The 17,853-nt window shown below is 39.6% G+C and overlaps 1 long non-coding RNA gene across 2 annotated transcripts in view, besides 1 other annotated feature; it reads left to right on the top strand.

Moving 5' to 3' along the window:
* Nucleotides 1–5,317, top strand: part of LOC105379172 (uncharacterized) — a 48,658-nt gene extending 43,341 nt beyond the window's left edge. Inside the window, exon 5 of one of the 2 annotated variants that reach the window (XR_007058928.1) lies at nucleotides 5,028–5,317. This is a non-coding gene — a long non-coding RNA (uncharacterized LOC105379172). The remainder of the gene's footprint in view (nucleotides 1–5,027) is intronic. The other variant, XR_948781.2, reaches the window with a different exon arrangement.
* Nucleotides 1,233–1,791: an enhancer, noted in NCBI's record as "NANOG hESC enhancer chr5:130400159-130400717 (GRCh37/hg19 assembly coordinates)". NCBI's record gives its function as "activates a minimal SCP1, AML or CMV promoter by ChIP-STARR-seq in naive H9 embryonic stem cells {active_cell/tissue: H9 hESC(naive)}" and the evidence as "EXISTENCE:reporter gene assay evidence [ECO:0000049][PMID:30033119]".
* Nucleotides 5,318–17,853: the final 12,536 nt, after the last annotated feature.

The following is a 17,853-nucleotide window of genomic DNA, read 5'->3' on the forward strand; positions in this document are numbered from 1 at the left end:
TGCCAAGAACTAGGCTGAAGGAATGGGAAGTTATTGTTAATGGGTATAGAATTCAGTTTTAGGAGATGAAAAGAGTTATGAAGATGGATGGTGGTGATGGTTGCACAACATTACGAATGCATTTAATATCACTGAACTATACATTTAAAAGTGGTTAAGATAATAAATTAGGTATTATATATATTTTACCACAATTGAAAAAAATTTAAAATGACCATATGATCTAGCCATTCCATTTCTGAGTATATGCGCAAAGTAATCGAAAGCAGGGTCTCAAACAGTTATTTGCACACCCATGTTCATAGCAGCCTTATTCACAAAAGCCAAAAGGTGGAAGCAATCCAAGTGTCCATTGATAGATCCGTGGGCAACAAACTGTGGTGTGTACATAGAATGAAATATTATTCGGTCTTAAAAAGGCAGGAAATTTTGACATGTGCTACAATATGAATGAATCTTGAAGATATTATGCTGACTGAAAGAATCCAGTCACAAAAGGACAAATATATTATTCCACTCTTATGAGGTAATCAAATTAGAGCAGACAAATTCATAGGGACAGAGGTAGAAGGATGATTTTCAGGGGCTAGGGGTGAAAAAGAGAATGGTGAATTATTGTTTAATGGATACAAAGTTCCAGTTTAGGAAGCTTTTTAAAAAGTTCTGGAGATGGATGGTGGTGATGGTTGCACAACAATGTGAATGTCCTTACTGCCACTGAACTGTACACTTACAAATGATTAAAATGGTAAACTTATGGTATTTTATCACAGTTTTTTAAAATCAGTCATATTCTTGGGTGCTACAACAAAGATATGAAACATAATCATCTGCTGAGTCTTCCAGTATCCCCACTCCAGCATGCCAACTTCCCTGAGTCTCCTAATCCCTTCCTCTGTCATCTGCCACAGAAGTCATGGCATTTCATCTTTGTTCAGCATGGGCCCATGTTCAGCATGGGCCATCGCTTTTTCCATGTATCCTAATGGCAAGTTTTCACCATCTCTGAGGACTTTGCAAGGAAAGCAAACTTTGATCTTGGGAGAGTACTTCCAAATCAATAAACTCTTTCTTATCCAATTTTATGTTCTGTTCCCTTGATCAAGCACCTGTCAAATCCAGGCCTATATATGTTCCCCAGTTCTTCCTGGTACATGTTACCTAGGTCTTGCAGCTCCTTTGAGATATGTCCATTTCCTCCTTTATCAGTCCCAGCACATCCCTAGCTGAGGTGTACTGAGAGTTGAGTTAAAGATTCAGTGGCTAGAAAGGCAGGTAGGGGCAGATCCTGACAGGGGCAGATCTTCTTTGTCTTTCAAAGGAGAAGACTTCACATTGTTTTCTAACACAGGGGGGTGTTAGCTTTTACTAGAAATGGGTGGACCTCTTCTGTAGATTCAAAAGGTTCAAAAGTGTCTGGGGAGTCGAAATCTTTGAGAACAGTCATGCAAATATCTCCATCCTACAGTTCAGGTTCTGAGGTCTTCCAAAACAGAGGCCTGACCTTGGCATAACATACCTGCCTTGATGGGGCATTTAATCTTCTTTGAAGTTCAGCAATCAGACTATTACTAAGTCCCAGCTTGGCCCTCAGCTTTGTTTGCTTTGCCTTTGTAGGAGATGAGAGCTTTTTGTCTGCACCTGAAGAGGCACCCTGTCTTTCACACCTGGCTTTCAAGTGTGTATTACTTACACTCAGTGGTTCCTTTTCTTCCTGAAGAGCATCTGTGGTTCTTAGCAATAAGCAAGCAATCAATTTTTCCTTATATCTGCAAAATTTATCTAAAACTCTTAAATACTTGATACAGTGCATCTGCAAGTGCATTCCCTTCTGACAAACCTTCCCAATTCACCACTGATGAGTTGTAGCAAGTACCATGGGCTGTCTGTGCTCCACTCACCACCAATATGGGGTCCTCTTTACCAGACAGGCAGTGAGTCATCCAGTTTCAAAACCCCATCTGGTTTTTCAGACAACTCTTGCTAGCAACCACCACAAGTTAGGTTTTCTAGAAGTAGATGCTGAGATAGAGTTTGGGGTATAAGATGTTTAGAAGGGATAAATACCTGTGAAGGAAGGGTTGAGAGACCAAATGAGGCAGAAGTTGAACTGTGATGCAGGCCTGACAAAGGCTTGGTCAACATGGTAAAGATCTCTGGAGCAAATATTACCAGTCAGAATGCAGCACTGATATGGTTCGGATTTGTGGTCCCTGCCCAAATCTCATGTCAAATTGTAATCCCCAGTGTTGGAGGGGCCTGGTGGGAGATCACAGGGGCAGATTTTCCCCTTGCTGTTCTTGTGGTGTTGAGTGAGTTATCACAAGATCTGCTTGTTTAAAAGTGCAAAGTACCCCTGCTTCTCTCTCTTCCTTCTTCTCCAGCCATGTAAGACATGCCTGCTTCCCCTTCCCCTTCTGTCATGATTGTGAGTTTCCTGAGGCCTCCCCAGGCATGCTTCCTGTACAGCTTGCAGAGCTGTGGTCAATTAAACCTTTTTTCTTAAAAATTACTCAGTTTCAGCCATTTCTTTATAGCAGTGCGAGAACAGACTAATACAGAAAATTGTTACTGGGAGTGAGGCATTGCTATAAAGATAACTGAAAATGTGGAAGCAGCTTTGGAACTGGGTAATGGGCAGAGGTTGGAACAGTTTGGAGAGCTCAGAAGAAGACAGGAAGATGAGGGAAAGTTTGGAACTTCCTAGAGACTTGCTAAATTGTTGTGACCAAAAGTGCTGATAGTGATATGGACAATGAAGTCCAGGCTGAGGGGGTCTCAGATGAAGATGAGGAACTTATTGGGAACTGGAGCAAAAGTCACTTTTGTTATGCATTAGCAAAGAGACTGGCAGCATTGTACCCTACCCTAGGGATCCATGGAATATTGAACTTGAGAGTGATGATTGAAGGTATCTGGCAAAAGAAATTTCTAAGCAGCAAAGCATTCAGGAAGTAGCCTGGCTGCTTCTAACAGCATTTGGTCATATGCATGAGCAAAGAGATGATCTGAAACTAGAACTAATATTTAAAAGAAAAACATAGCATAAAAGTTTAGAAAATTTGCAGCCTGACCATGTGGTAGAAAAGAAAAACCCACCTTCTGGAGAAAAATTCAAGCCAGCTGCAAAAATTTGCATAAAGAGGAGCTGAATGTTAATAGCCAAGACACTGGGGAAAATGCCTCAAAGGTATTTCAGAGACCTTCCTGGCAGCCCCTACCATCACAGGCCCAGAGGCCTAGGAGGGAAGAATGGTTTTGTGGACTGAGTCCAGGGCCCTGCTGCCCTGAGTTAGGGTCCTAACCTCAGGACACTGCTCCCTGCATCCCAGTTGCTCCAGCTCCAGCTATGGCTAAAAGGGTCCCAAATATGTCTCAGGCCACTGTTCCAGAGGATGCAAACTATCAGCTTTGGCTGCTTCCACATGGTGTTAAACCTGCAGGTGTGCAGAGGGCAAGAGTTGAGGTTTGTGAGCCTCCACCTAGATTTCAGAGGATGTATGGAAATGCATGTCCAGGCAGAAGTCTGCTGCAGGAGCAAAGCTCTCATGGAGAACCTCTACTAGGGCAATGTGCAGGGGAAATGTGTGGTTGGAGACCCCACTCAGAGTCCCCACTGGAGCACTGCCTAGTGGAACTGCAAGAAGAGGGTCACCGTCCTCCAGACCCCAGAATTGTAGATCCGTGAGAAGCTTTCTCTGTGCACCTGGAAAAGCTACAGGGACTCAACACCAGCCATGATTGTGAGTTTCCTGGGGCTTCCCAAGCCATGCTTCCTTTATAGTCTGTGAAGCTGTGAGTCAATTAAACCCCTTTTCTTATAAGTAAACTGGTTTCTGGTATTTCTTTACAGCAGTATGAAAACAAACTAATACAGGGACCTCCCCCATTAGGGTGAAATGGCCAGGACTTTATTCCCCCACCTCAGTCAGTCACCAGACACAGGCTGGCTTGGAAAAGATATGACCTTCGACAATGCAGTTCACTGCAGCTCAAGCAAATCCCAAAGAAGCTGACAGCTGGAGGTTTCTGTTGACTGCACTCCACCAGCTAGAAAGCAAATCCTTCCTGAAAGGTAGATTTTGGCAATGTATATCCATGTCCACCACCACAAGTATTAATTTTTTAAATTTTATTAAAAAATGAAAAGCCTGAGACAAATACTAAACTACACTGGATGCAAGACAGCATATTGAAATTGTGAATCTTCCAGAAAAACTTGGACATGTGGTCACCATAGTTCTAAATAAACCAATTTCTGGTTCTAGGTCCTCTACCCTGTCCCTCACCATGCAGAAGAAGCTGGACTTATGCAAACATGCTTTATATCCTTTCCAGCCTTGCCAGATATATGGGAGGACACCTGACCCAAAAGAATGTTAAACCAAAAATTGCCAACAAAATACAATGTGTCCTGGGAGTCCTGGGACAAGAATTGAGATCAGCTCATCAATTTCTCTTCCTCAGGAATTTTAACCAAGGAAATAACAAAGGAAAGGTGAGGTCAACAAAATGAAGCAGAAGTGAGATGATCTAATGTAGAAATTGAGCAAGAAAACCACGACAGACCATGTTCAAACAGAAATTACGAGGGAAACAAAACTATGAGTAAGCAGAAGTTAGGAGGAAGATTTAAAAAATTAGAGCAGAGGATCAAGGAGATATTTCTTATCAAAATAGAAGCAGATGGGCAAAGGCTAAATGAGTCAAATTAAGGGCAGGACACTCCTATTGCTTTGACTGTAGACCCAACTTCCCATTCCTGTTCTTCCAGAGGCCCAGCTGCTTATTTCTAAGTGTGCATGAATCTTTCACCTCCAAGTATATTGATTCCCTCATCAAAAAGGTTACAAACTAGTGCTTCCCAAGCTTCTGTTGCAAAGTAATTCTCTGGCATTTGCATTAAAACCAAAGATCTCTGTTCAACCTCTCCATTTTTATTTAGAATAAATTTATGGTGTCATGAGGAAGTTTCATCTTGCTAATATTGCCAAATTCTATACTCTTATTTCTCATTCCCAAAACAGAAAATAACTCCAACTCTTTCAAAAGAGCTCATTTAGTGGCAATTCTTCCTATTTCATCTGTTACGGCTAGTGAGTTCTGCGCTTACTGAAGCATCTCCTGACCCTAGAGACAATTGCAACCATGGCAAGAATACCAACAATGTTATGCTAGATCCCACGGCAAAAGGGTAACAAAATTGGATTTTATGACTCTTTATCATTGAATCACCCTCAACAACACCAATTCTGGGAAGTTCTGATAATACATTTCTGACTGCCTGACCTCATAATGTACAATAGATTCCCTTTCTAGTAAAAGGACCCAGCACCAGATTTCCCTATTTGAATTATATTTCTACACTGTCCTTACAAAAATATCATTCTCGGCCGGGCGCGGTGGCTCACATCTGTAATCCCAGCACTTTGGGAGGCCGAGGTGAGCAAATCATGAGGTCAGGAGATCGAGACTATCCTGGCTAACATGGTGAAATCCCGTCTTTACTAAAAATACAAAAAAAATTAGCCAGGCGTGGTGGTGGGCGTGACTCGGGAGGCTGAGACAGGAGAATGGCGTGAACCCAGGAGGCAGAGCTTGCAGTGAGCCGAGATCGCGCCACTGCACTCCAGCCTGGGCAACTGAGCAAGACTCCATCTCAAAAAAAAAAAAAAAAAAATATATATATATATATATATATATATATTCTCAACTATTTCAGGTCTAAGGAGCCATCTACTGTTTTAAGAACAAACTGCAATTAATGATCATTTCTCAAACCATAAAAGGCCCAATCAACTAAATTACATTCTCTCTCTCTCTGTCTCTCTTTCTCTGTCTTCCCCTTCCTTGGCCCCCTGCCTTGTTGTGGTGGTAGTGGTGATGGTGATAATAATGGCTCTTTGTTCTCAAGAAATTATGCTGTGCCAAATTCAAGACAGTGTTTTTATTGTGGTTGTGTACATACGAAAAATGCCTTATAGTTGTTTATTGAATTTTGAATTTTTTATACACAAGAGTCATTCCCTGTTGGAAATGAGAAGCAAGTTTTCTCTTTGTTGCTTTTAACTGAAGAATATATTATAAGCTCTTTCTCTAGATACATTCTGAAACTGTAAAAAACACTTTCAAAATAAAGGTCAGCCATGTCGTCTGTGCAATGTTAATTGCTAAGTGCTGAACTAGCACTGTAGTCAGTCTTTGAAGTGGAGCCTGGCTGGGTTGACAGCCTAGGGTGGCTGCCCCATGCTTTCAGAGCAACACAGGATGTTGCTTGGTCTCTTCAGAAAGAGGCTGCCAGGAAATGAAGTTTCACATGAGAAACTTGCTGCTCTAATGCATTTCAGGCTATTCTTTTCCATTTGAAAGCCTAGGTGCAATGAGTGAAGAAATCTTTTCTTAAAAACTCCAAATAGGTCTTGAAGTACATGCATGTTCACTGAGGTAGTGATTTCCTCTCCTTCTAGTATCTTGTGCCCATATACAAGAAAAAGAATATGTGTAGTTAGTAAATTTTTAAAAATCATCTCATGTTTATTCCTGATGGAAGATTGAAAAAGCTAAGGAAAGAAGAGATGCCTTGGGCTCATGTTAAATGCACTCTGGAAGAACAAAATGTAAAACCACTGATTTTCAATTAAAAGATAATGATTCCAGTGGGTGGTTGCAGTTAAGATGAAGTAAGATGCACCCTGCCTCATTCAATGAAGCAACTAAAAACCCTGCACAGAAGGCAGGGAGCAGTTATCTAGGGACTCTAAAAAGTAAATAATAGCAGACTGGTTTGAGAGACAAAACAGAACTCAATGTAAGATCAATCCACTGGTGAGTTTTGTCCTCCTCTCCCGCTATTTTCTGGCCTTAGATTCAAAAGCATCCCAAAACCCAGAACTCCACAGTAGGTGCAAATAGAAAGAGCTGCAAGAGAAGTCCTCTCATTCTGGTCCAAAAAGCAGAAAAGGGAGCCTTTAAGGATCAGAGTGAAGAAAATCCCTTGGGGTGTTCTTTTCTGTTCTCTCTTATTGCTGCCCCCAGGCAATCCCCTGGAGCAACAGACATAGAGGCAGTGGCAGCTGTGCAAGCACCTGAAACTCTAAGGGAAGAGAGCTCTTCTCTCTGGCCAGGACTTGGGTCCCAAAAGCATGGGGGAAATATATGTTGCTTTTTTTTTTTCCCCCATCTTCCCATGCCTTGGCTGTGGAAGCAGAGACAGTCACAAGAAGTGAACATAGGAGCAGAAAAACTACATAATTTTCCCAGCCACAACCCTACACTACTTACGCCTGTAATTTCAGGACTTTGGGAGGCCAAGGCTGGTGGATCACCTGAGGTCAATAGTTGGAGACCAGCCTGGCCAACATGGTGAAACCCCGTCTCTACTAAAAATACAAAAATTGGTCAGGTGTGGTGGCGTGCACCTGTAATCCCAGCTACTTGGGGAGGTTAAGGCAAGAGAATCACTTGAATCCAGGAAGTGGAGGTTGCAGTGAGCCGAGATCACGCCACTACACTCCAGCCTGGGCAACAGAGTGAGACGCGAAAGAAAGAGAGAGAACAGATTATTGGCGAACATGTATGCAACTCCGCCATGTAACTATGTTAACTAATTTTAATGTACTTGATTTAACAGTTTCTAGGGGGAGTGATTATAGATTTGTCCTCTGAGTAATTCTTCTATATTTTTGCCTTATGTATTTTTTTTTTTTTTTTTTGAGACAGAATCTCGCTTTGTCGCCCAGGCTGGAGTGCAGTGGCGCAATCTCAGCTCACTGCAAGCTCCGCCTCCCGGGTTCATGCCGTTCTCCTGCCTCAGCCTCCCGAGTAGCTGGGACTACAGGCGCCCGCCACTACGCCCGGCTAATTTTTTTTTTGTATTTTTAGTACAGATGGCGTTTCACCGTGTTAGCCAGGATGGTCTCGATCTCCTGACCTCGTGATCCACCCGCCTTGGCCTCCCAAAGTGCTGGGATTACAGGCGTGAGCCACCGCGCCTGGCCTGCCTTATGTATGTTAAGATTATATTTCTAGGCACATATAGGTTGTGTAATTGCTACATCATCCAGGTAAAATATTATTTTTTCATTATATTTTGACCCTTTTTACCTCTGCAAAGTTTGCTCCAGTTTGGATATTTGAAAGGACTCACCAGACTTCCCAGAATACAGATGGCTCCTGACTTACAATGGTTCAACTTAATATTTTTTTTTACTTTATGGATGGTGTGAAAGTGATACACTTTCAGTAGAAACTGTACTTTGAGTACCCATACTGTTTCTTACTTTAAATACAGTATTTAATAAGTTACATGAGATTTTTAACACTTTCTTACAAAAAGGCTTCATATTAGATTATTTTGCCCAACTGTAGGTGTTAGTAAGTTTCTTTCTTTCAATACAGTATTCTGTTTCTTACTTTCAATACAGTGTTTAATGTTACATGAGATTTTTAACACTTTCTTATAAAATAGGCTTCATATTAGATTATTTTGCCCAACTGTAGGCATTAGTAAGTGTTCTGAGTACATTTAAGGTAGGCTAGACTAAGCTATGATGTTTGGTAGGTTAGGTATAGTAAATGCATTTTCAACATAGAATATTTTAAACTTAAAATAGGTTTATTGGGACATAACCCTATCATAAATTGAGGAGCATCTATATATGCCTGTAGGCCTTTTAAAGACAAAGAACACAGTGTAGCAAGAGAAAGTGATTGCAGGCAAGCTCCTCAGGGCCCAACTTTAACCACCAAGATGTGTGCAAGGAATTTTAGTTTCAGAAGAACTCAAAGAGAAGTTTTCAGTAGGGGGGCTTTAAGTCCTTCTGGCCACAATCAAACCAGCTTGTCACACCAGTTAAGCCAGCTGGAATTCATTGGTAAAGAAACTGACCTTGAGAGTCGCTACAGGAGTTTTGGACCTTAAACGACACATCACAAATTCCACTGCCCTTATCTTGACCAAAAGTCAAAAACCAGACAGCCAATCATCCCCAGAGATAAACATGATGGTTTTCCTTTCCAGCTGTAAATTAATTCTATCTCCACAATCTCTGATACAGATTTTGCCTGAAAGTCTGTTTGGTGTGAAATTAATATTGCTCTACCACGTTAGTCGTAGTTTGTTTTTTCCAAGTATGCCTTTTTTCATTTCTTCACTCTCAAACTTTCTGTGTCATTACAGTTGTGCCTCTTATAAATGGCATATAGCTAGATATCATATAAATCAGTCTCAGTTTCTGTTCTTTAACTGATAAATCCAATCTGTGAATATCACTATATTAGAATATTCCTATCAATATTTTTCTGGTTTGTATCCAGCATTGTTGTCTTTGCTCCTTTTTCTTCTTTCTGCCTTATATCACTTTAATAGAGGGTTTTTTCCTTTGTCTCTCTCCTTGCCATTTTTACACTTTTCTGCTTTAAAAATTGCATATACTCTTTCTATTTAGTTGCTGATATTCCTAAAGTTTACTTACATACTTCATTTAACAAAGCATACCATCTATCAAAAACTATAAAGACCTAAGAAATCAAGAGACCTCTCCTCTCACATGTAATTGTTATAGACAATTTGTATTTTAGTTCCACTTTATTTTCAAATCCTCCAAAATTAATCATTATTATTGTTATTTAGAGTCAATACTTATTAGTACTAGGTTAGACCATATTAGTTTTTTTCTGAGATGGAGTCTTGCTCTGTTGCCCAAGCTGGAGTGCAGTGGTGCAATCTTGGCTCATTGCAACCTCTGCCACCAGGGTCAAGTGATTCTCCTGCCTCAGCCTCCCAAGTAGCTGGGACTACAGGAAGCCCCCATCACACCTGGCTAATTTTTGTATTTTTAGTAGAGACAGGGTCTCACCATGCTGACCAAACTGGTCTCGAACTCCTGACCTCAAGTGATCCATCCTCCTCGGCCTCCCAAAGTGCTGGGATTACAGGCGTAAGCCACTGCGCCTGGCCTAATTGCTATTTTTATATTTGTTTTTTTTTATTATACTTTAAGTTTTAGGGTACATGTGCACATTGTGCAGGTTAGTTACATATGTATACATGTGCCATGCTGGTGCGCTGCACCCACTAACTCGTCATCTAGCATTAGGTATATCTCCCAATGCTATCCCTCCCCCCTCCCCCCACCCCACCACAGTCCCCAGAGTGTGATATTCCCCTTCCTGTGTCCATGTGATCTCATTGTTCAATTCCCACCTATGAGTGAGAATATGCGGTGTTTGGTTTTTTGTTCTTGCGATAGTTTACTGAGAATGATGGTTTCCAATTTCATCCATGTCCCTACAAAGGACATGAACTCATCATTTTTTATGGCTGCATAGTATTCCATGGTGTATATGTGCCACATTTTCTTAATCCAGTCTATCATTGTTGGACATTTGGGTTGGTTCCAAGTCTTTGCTATTGTGAATAATGCCGCAATAAACATACGTGTGCATGTGTCTTTATAGCAGCATGATTTATAGTCATTTGGGTATATACCCAGTAATGGGATGGCTGGGTCAAATGGTATTTCCAGTTCAAGATCCCTGAGGAATCGCCACACTGACTTCCACAATGGTTGAACTAGTTTACAGTCCCACCAACAGTGTAAAAGTGTTCCTATTTCTCCACATCCTCTCCAGCACCTGTTGTTTCCTGACTTTTTAATGATCACCATTCTAACTGGTGTGAGATGGTATCTCATTGTGGTTTTGATTTGCATTTCTCTGATGGCCAGTGATGATGAGCATTTTTTCATGTGTCTTTTGGCTGCATAAATGTCTTCTTTTGAGAAGTGTCTGTTCATGTCCTTCGCCCACTTTTTGATGGGGTTGTTTGTTTTTTTCTTGTAAATTTGTTTGAGTTCATTGTAGATTCTGGATATTAGCCCTTTGTCAGATGAGTAGGTTGCGAAAATTTTCTCCCATGTTGTAGGTTGCCTGTTCACTCTGATGGTAGTTTCTTTTGCTGTGCAGAAGCTCTTTAGTTTAATTAGATCCCATTTGTCCATTTTGGCTTTTGTTGCCATTGCTTTTGGTGTTTTGGACATGAAGTCCTTGCCCACGCATCGTCTCAGCCCAAAATCTCCTTAAGCTGATAAGCAACTTCAGCAAAGTCTCAGGATACAAAATCAATGTACAAAAATCACAAGCATTCTTATACACCAACAACAGACAAACAGAGAGCCAAATCATGAGTAAACTCCCATTCACAATTGCTTCAAAGAGAATAAAATACCTAGGAATCCAACTTACAAGGGATGTGAAGGACCTCTTCAAGGAGAACTACAAACCACTGCTCAAGGAAATAAAAGAGGATACAAACAAATGGAGGAACATTCCATGCTCATGGGTAGGAAGAATCAATATCGTGAAAATGGCCATACTGCCCAAGGTAATTTACAGATTCAATGCCATCCCCATCAAGCTACCAATGACTTTCTTCACAGAATTGGAAAAAACTACTTTAAAGCTATTTTTATATTTCAAAATTAGCCAAATATCAACAATTTTAAGTGACTCCACTTAATATTTACTTTGCATTTTACATCCCACTCCTTCCTTCTGTACTCAGTGCCCCACTTAAGAGTTATTTTTTGTTAGGGTCAGTGAATGTATTATTTTTTGTTAGAGTCAGTGAGCAGTAAAGCCTTTCAGATTTCATCTAAAAATAGCTTTATTTTCACTTTATTCTTAGATGATATTTTAGATAGGTTAACAGTTATCTCCCTTCAGTCTTTTGAAGATATTATTTCATTGCTGTCTAGCCTCTACTGTTGCTGAGTATTGATAGGCTGTCAAATTGCCATTACTTTATAAATAATGTGTCGTTTCTCTCTCATTGCTTTTAAGATTTTTCATTTTGTCATTGGTGTTCTGCAGTTTCTCTGATACATCAAAGCATGAGTTTATTTTTTATTTTACACAGAATTAGTTGTGTTTATTCAAGAAAAGTTTCATATCTTTCATCAATTTTGAGAAATTGTCAGTCATTATTACTTTGAATAATGCTTCTTCCTTATTCTTTCTATCACCTCTTTCTGGATCTTCTCACTCTACGCTCACATTTCTCATTCTTTTTTTTTCCCCTTCAACCCTAAATGCTATATTCTATTTAGTTTCCTTAGCTGTCTCTGATGCTACATCTAATCTGCTCTTTAATCCAAATTATTGCATTTTTAATTTCTATGACTATATATTTTTATTTCTAGAAGATCTAGCTAAGGCAAGGCATGGTGGCTCACGCCTGTAATCCCAGAATTTTGGGAGGCCAAGGTGGGTGGATTGCTTGAGTCCAAGAGTTCAAGACCAGCCTGGCCAACATGGCGAAATCCCATCTCTACTAAAAATACAAAAATTAGCTGGGTGTGGTGGTGTGCACCTGTAGTCCTAGCTACTCAAGGGGCTGAGGCATGAGGATCACCGGAGCCTTTTGAGATTGAGGGTGCTGTAAGCTGTGATCACACCACTGCACTTCAGCCTTGGGTAACAGAATGAGACCCTATTCCCATTTCCCCCAAAAAAGATCTATCTAGTTATTTTTCACAATATTTATTTTCTATTTTTCACAATATTTATTTTCTTACCCTTTGCTTCAATTTATTTGTATACCAATAATCATATAAAACATGCTTATTTATTTCATGTGGTATGTTAGTCCAATTGCATCGCTATAAAGGAATACCTGAGACGGGGCAATTTATAAAGAAAGAGGTTTATTTGGCGCACGGTCCTTCAGGCCATACAATAAGCATGGCACCTGCATCTGCTCGGCTTCTGGTGAGGTCTCAGGAAATTTTTAGCCATGGCAGAAGGAAAAAGGAGCTGGCATGTCACATGGTGGAAGAGGGAGCAAGAGAGAGAGGAGGAGGTGCCAGGCTCTTTTAAACAACAAGCTCTCACATAAACTAATAGAGTGAGAACTCACTCATTACCATGGGGAGGGCACCAAGCCATTCATGAGGGATCCACCCCCATAAACCAAACACCTCCCATTAGGCCCCACTTCCAACGTTGGGGATCACATTTCAACATGAGATTTGAAGGGGACAAATATCCAAACTATCTCATGTGGTTTGTAATTTTTGACTGAGAATTCAACTATAAACTTTTTAAAATAAAAGCTTTATGTATCTTTCGTAAAAATATTTCCTCAAAAGTGTTTTACAACCATTTCTTCCAGATGCTCCAGAGAGTTCACTAATCTAGGATTGTTTTTATATTAATTTGTTGGCTCAGGTCTCCCACACCACATAAGAACTATAAATTCTGACTAAACCTGGGCATAGTATAGAAATAAGGCTCAGAATTATCACAGGAGTCTTTTTTCTATACAGATCCCGAACCAGATAAAAGCTTTCTTGCAGCTTTATTGAAATACTGGGCAGCTTTTCTTCTCCCTTTTCCAAGAGAGACTGATATTTCTAAGTCCTTGTTTTATGGAGAGATCTAAGGGTTAGGCCCCAGCTTTGTGAGGTTCTAACAACACATCTTCTGTCCAGGAGGGTGTGATAAAATTGTAGCCTCTCATTTCCAAAGCCTGTATTTGGGTCCTCCAACCACATGGGTAGCCAGAGAGACAGCTCCTGCACTTTTCATTCCAACTATCTTTTCCCTATTCATTTCCTTGGGAATTATATTTATTTGTTTTTAGCTTTGCTATGGATTTAATTTTTTATTGTAGTTTTTCAAACATTTCTATGTGATTGTAGTGAGTCCATGCTAGTATAATCAGCCAATTTAGTCCTACAGCTGTCTTCCTATCTGCTAGTTTGAATTTTTTACAATGTCAAACATCACCTATACCAACCCCTTACATTTATAGGCTCAGCAATTGAAGCTCAAAAAAGTTAAGTGTCTTGCCAAATCATACCAAAATTTAGTAACAGAAACCAAATAAACCTACACATCTAGGTTTTTTTCCTCATCCTACAAATTTAGTACTTATTGTCATGTAGATTAAAAGACCAAGTTTCTATCCAGATGTTTCAAGGTAATATATTGAAGAAGTTGAGCACGTTGGGAAGCTATATTAATTTATACATATCACTAGCATGCCAAGTAACATATTATCTCTGTAGGGCAACTGACCGCACCTTGAAAATGAAAATAGATAATGAGGCTTGGTTTGTAACCAACTTTTCAATAATTTTGATTTTCTTAACACTAAATATGAGATCCTTTGTTTAATTTTTTTCAACTTCTATTATCACTTTCAGTTTCTATTTAGTGTGAAAGCTAAGAAGAAAAAAAGACAACCCTTTTTCATCAAGCATAATCATTCTATGAAATAAAATGCTCTCATAGAATATCATGTTAATTTTGCTTAAACCTACAAATAGGTTTTAGAACATCTGTTCACCATAATTAGGTTGACTGAATATCAAAATTACCAAATTTCTTTCCATTCTTTTATTCTATACCCATGAATGTACTAAGGCTTTCAGGACAAAAATGCGAGAGAGGGGTGGTTTTTTGTTGTTGCTGTTTTTATACTTTACACTTTTATTTTTTTACCCAGACAGAATATATAAAGTCATACATTGGTGGTGACTCTTCATTCATTCATTTGATAACTCTGTATTACATTTTCTACTATATATCATTTGTTTTATAATCTGCCAATGTTAGAAATCACTTTCGTCTTTAGTCACAATTAGATGGACACTTCAGACTCTAAGAGCCGGAAACAGGTATACCATCCCTTTATATCCTCTCCGACACAATGCCAAAAAAATACTCAAATGTTTGCTTGCCCTCTGCTATAGGTAGGACTGCTTACTGCCAGAGTTCTCTGGGTCCCCAACCTAGAAGAGCTCAACTGGTTATAAAAACAATGAGAGAGATTTGCTTAAAATCTTAGTCAAGCCATGTGGTCACAACCAGGTAAAGGGCTTCAGGGACACAAGGCATTTTGGCAATGTTAATTTTTGTTAGGTTAGGTTAGGTTAATGTTATGTCTCCTTGGGCAGACATGATGAGTCTATGTTCTAATCCTATTACAACATTTAGTAAAAGTTTAATGGTTATATCCTATCACAAATTTGTTACCTAATTTGAGGCACTAATGGATAGGGCTCTTTTATTTTCTTATTTTTCAATAGATCAAAGTCAAGCCAGTACAACATACAAAAAAAAATGCTAGGATTCAGCAAGATTTATATTTCTCCATTTTAGTGTTGTTTATCTTCTGGGAAAGGGACACACAAACCTTGGTTTAATAAGTTACAATAATAGGCAAATTAAAAATAATAAACAACAGTCACAGTCTGTTAATTATACCTGCTTCAGGGAAAACAGTAGAATTATTTCATGAGTGACTAAAAATCTTTAAGCTCTTATGAAGGATTTGACAAAAGATTCTCATAACCAGGGTAATCATAATTTATCATCACAACCAGGGGGCTGTGGGAGTGAAGGGAGTTTGTGCTGGGAACACTGGCATAAACTAGGACTATTCTGATCAAACCAGGACATAATCACTTTACTGTGCATTAAAACAAATAACTGGGGTTACGATAGAGGCCCTGCCCTCACAAAATTCAAAGGCATAGGTCATTAGATGTCACCATGGTGCAATATGGTAAGTAATAAGATAAAGGAATTGTAGAGAAGGGGCTAAGGACCCAAAAACCCTGTGTTGGGGGTCAGGGGTAATAAAAGAAAACCATGTGTCATCCAATAGTTCCAGAACCCTGTTTATTATCAGAATCACTTAGGGAACTTATTGGAGAATACAGATTCCTGCCTGCCCCCATCCCCTGCCAGAGTCTCATTTAATGGGGGAATGGTATCCCAGGGAGAGGAAATAGCATATACAGAGAGTCTGAGGGAAATGAACACCTATCCAATTCTGGGACTTGAAGGCATCAATTATAGTCTCAAAGCCTCGTTTACTCTTCATATTTATGTCCTAATAGCATACACAACCATAATGTGGATACTCTGGATGTTACTAATATTAACAGGCAAGTGATTAAACGCTAGACTAGTAGTCAAATGATAATTCTTATTCTGAATTGTCCATAGACTACTGCTTTTATGTTAAGGATTTTATTTTCTTTTCCTTTAAAGCAGGCCTGTTGACTTACAAATTCCAGTCTGACATGTAAAAAGCTTTGAACTTATCAATCCAGTTCTCATAACAAGAAAAAAGCTGAACAAACTGAAAACTAACAACTCTTCTTTGATCCGAGAATTGAGCAAACAGGTCAAACTGCTGCTTGGAAAAGAGGAGAGACAGACAGGCATATACAGAGAATCACAGCTTAGCAGGAGCAAAAGCCTGCAGCTGGAGCCAATATCACCAGGAACACTTTAAACTAAAACTGACAAATTGCTCGAGACTCAACTGTAGACTAGCTTGAGAGTTAAAACTCCAAGGGAACCCAGGCTTAGGGAGAGCCCAACACATGAGAAGGGGAAAAGTATCCATTTTTAAATATGCCCAGAGCTCTCTGTTCTCCTTAACAAGGTCTACCCTCAAAGAAAATTTACCAGAGCCTGACTGGGGTTTTACCAGAGCCTAGCCAACCTGGGAGAAGGGAAATAACATCCAGCCCTCTCCAGCCTTTCATGTGAGTTGGTTTAATGAACCAACTCAGGTTCGTTAAAAGACTGAGGCCTAATCACAGGCCTATAGAATGCCTTCCCCTCACAACCTTACCACCACATTAATAGGGCTCCTCTATAAAACAGAGGATTACCACTAAAAAACACTGCATGCCTCAGCTTCTGTATAAAGAGTCTCTAGGAAAACCCAAAGACAAGAGGGAACACAAAAACAGGGACACCAGAGGAAATTGTAGCCCCTGACACCATAGCCACAGCAAACAATAAATACAGCCTAACTCTGTCTTGCTCTGTTACCCAGGCTGGACTTCAGTGGCTCAATCATAGCTCACTGCAGCCTCCAACTCCTGGGCTCTCAAGCAAGCCTCCCACTTCAGCTCCCAAGTAGCTGGGACTACAAGTGAGCACCACCATGCCTGGCTAATTGTTTTTAATTTTTTGTAAACATGGGGTCTCATTATATTGTCTAGACTGGTCTTGAACTCCTGGCCTCAAGTGATCCTCCCACTGCAGCCTCCCAAAGCACTGGGAGTACAGGCATGAGCCACTGCACCCAGCCTGTTTTTCTTATTCTTAGTTGATCTAACAGTTAACCGTTTATTCAAAATAATAGCAGCAACAATGCATTCAATGACTATAGCTTACAGATAAGTGAAATGAATAGCAGCAAAAAAATTATGAAGGACAGTAGAGAGGAATTGGTATACTCTATCATAAAGTACTTGCACTATTCATGGAGCAGTACAGTATTATTTGAAAGTGGAATTGGATTAGTTGTAAACATACACCGCAAACTGTAGGGCAACCGCTAAAAAAAGTATTAAAGAAGTATAATTGATATGCTAAAACAAGAGAGAAAATAAAATCATATAAAATGTTCAATTAAAACCAGAGAAGGCAGAAAAAGAGTGAAAGGGGGAAAAAAAGAAACAAAGAACAAGGAAATAGAGAACAGTTAAAATGTGGTCAGAGATTAATCCAACTATATCAAAAATCACTTCACATTTGAGTGGTCTAAATATACTACTTGAAAGAGAGACTGGCAAAGTGGATGGGAAAAGACCCAACTACAGATTGTCTACAGGAGCAGACCTGTAATAAACAATTAAAGTAAATCACTTCTCCATCAGTTGATTTCCTACCTGGTTTAAATAATATCTGTTGGTATTCACCTGAAAAAAAGGTCTAACATTAAAAATATATAAAATTCCAAAATTAATGCATAAAAATAATATCGTTTTTGTTTTTGGAACAAAAAGAGAAACATACTAAATATAAACATATTAAATTTAT

Source organism: Homo sapiens, chromosome 5 (genome assembly GCF_000001405.40).
Source record: "Homo sapiens chromosome 5, GRCh38.p14 Primary Assembly".
Classification (NCBI taxonomy): domain Eukaryota; kingdom Metazoa; phylum Chordata; class Mammalia; order Primates; family Hominidae; genus Homo; species Homo sapiens.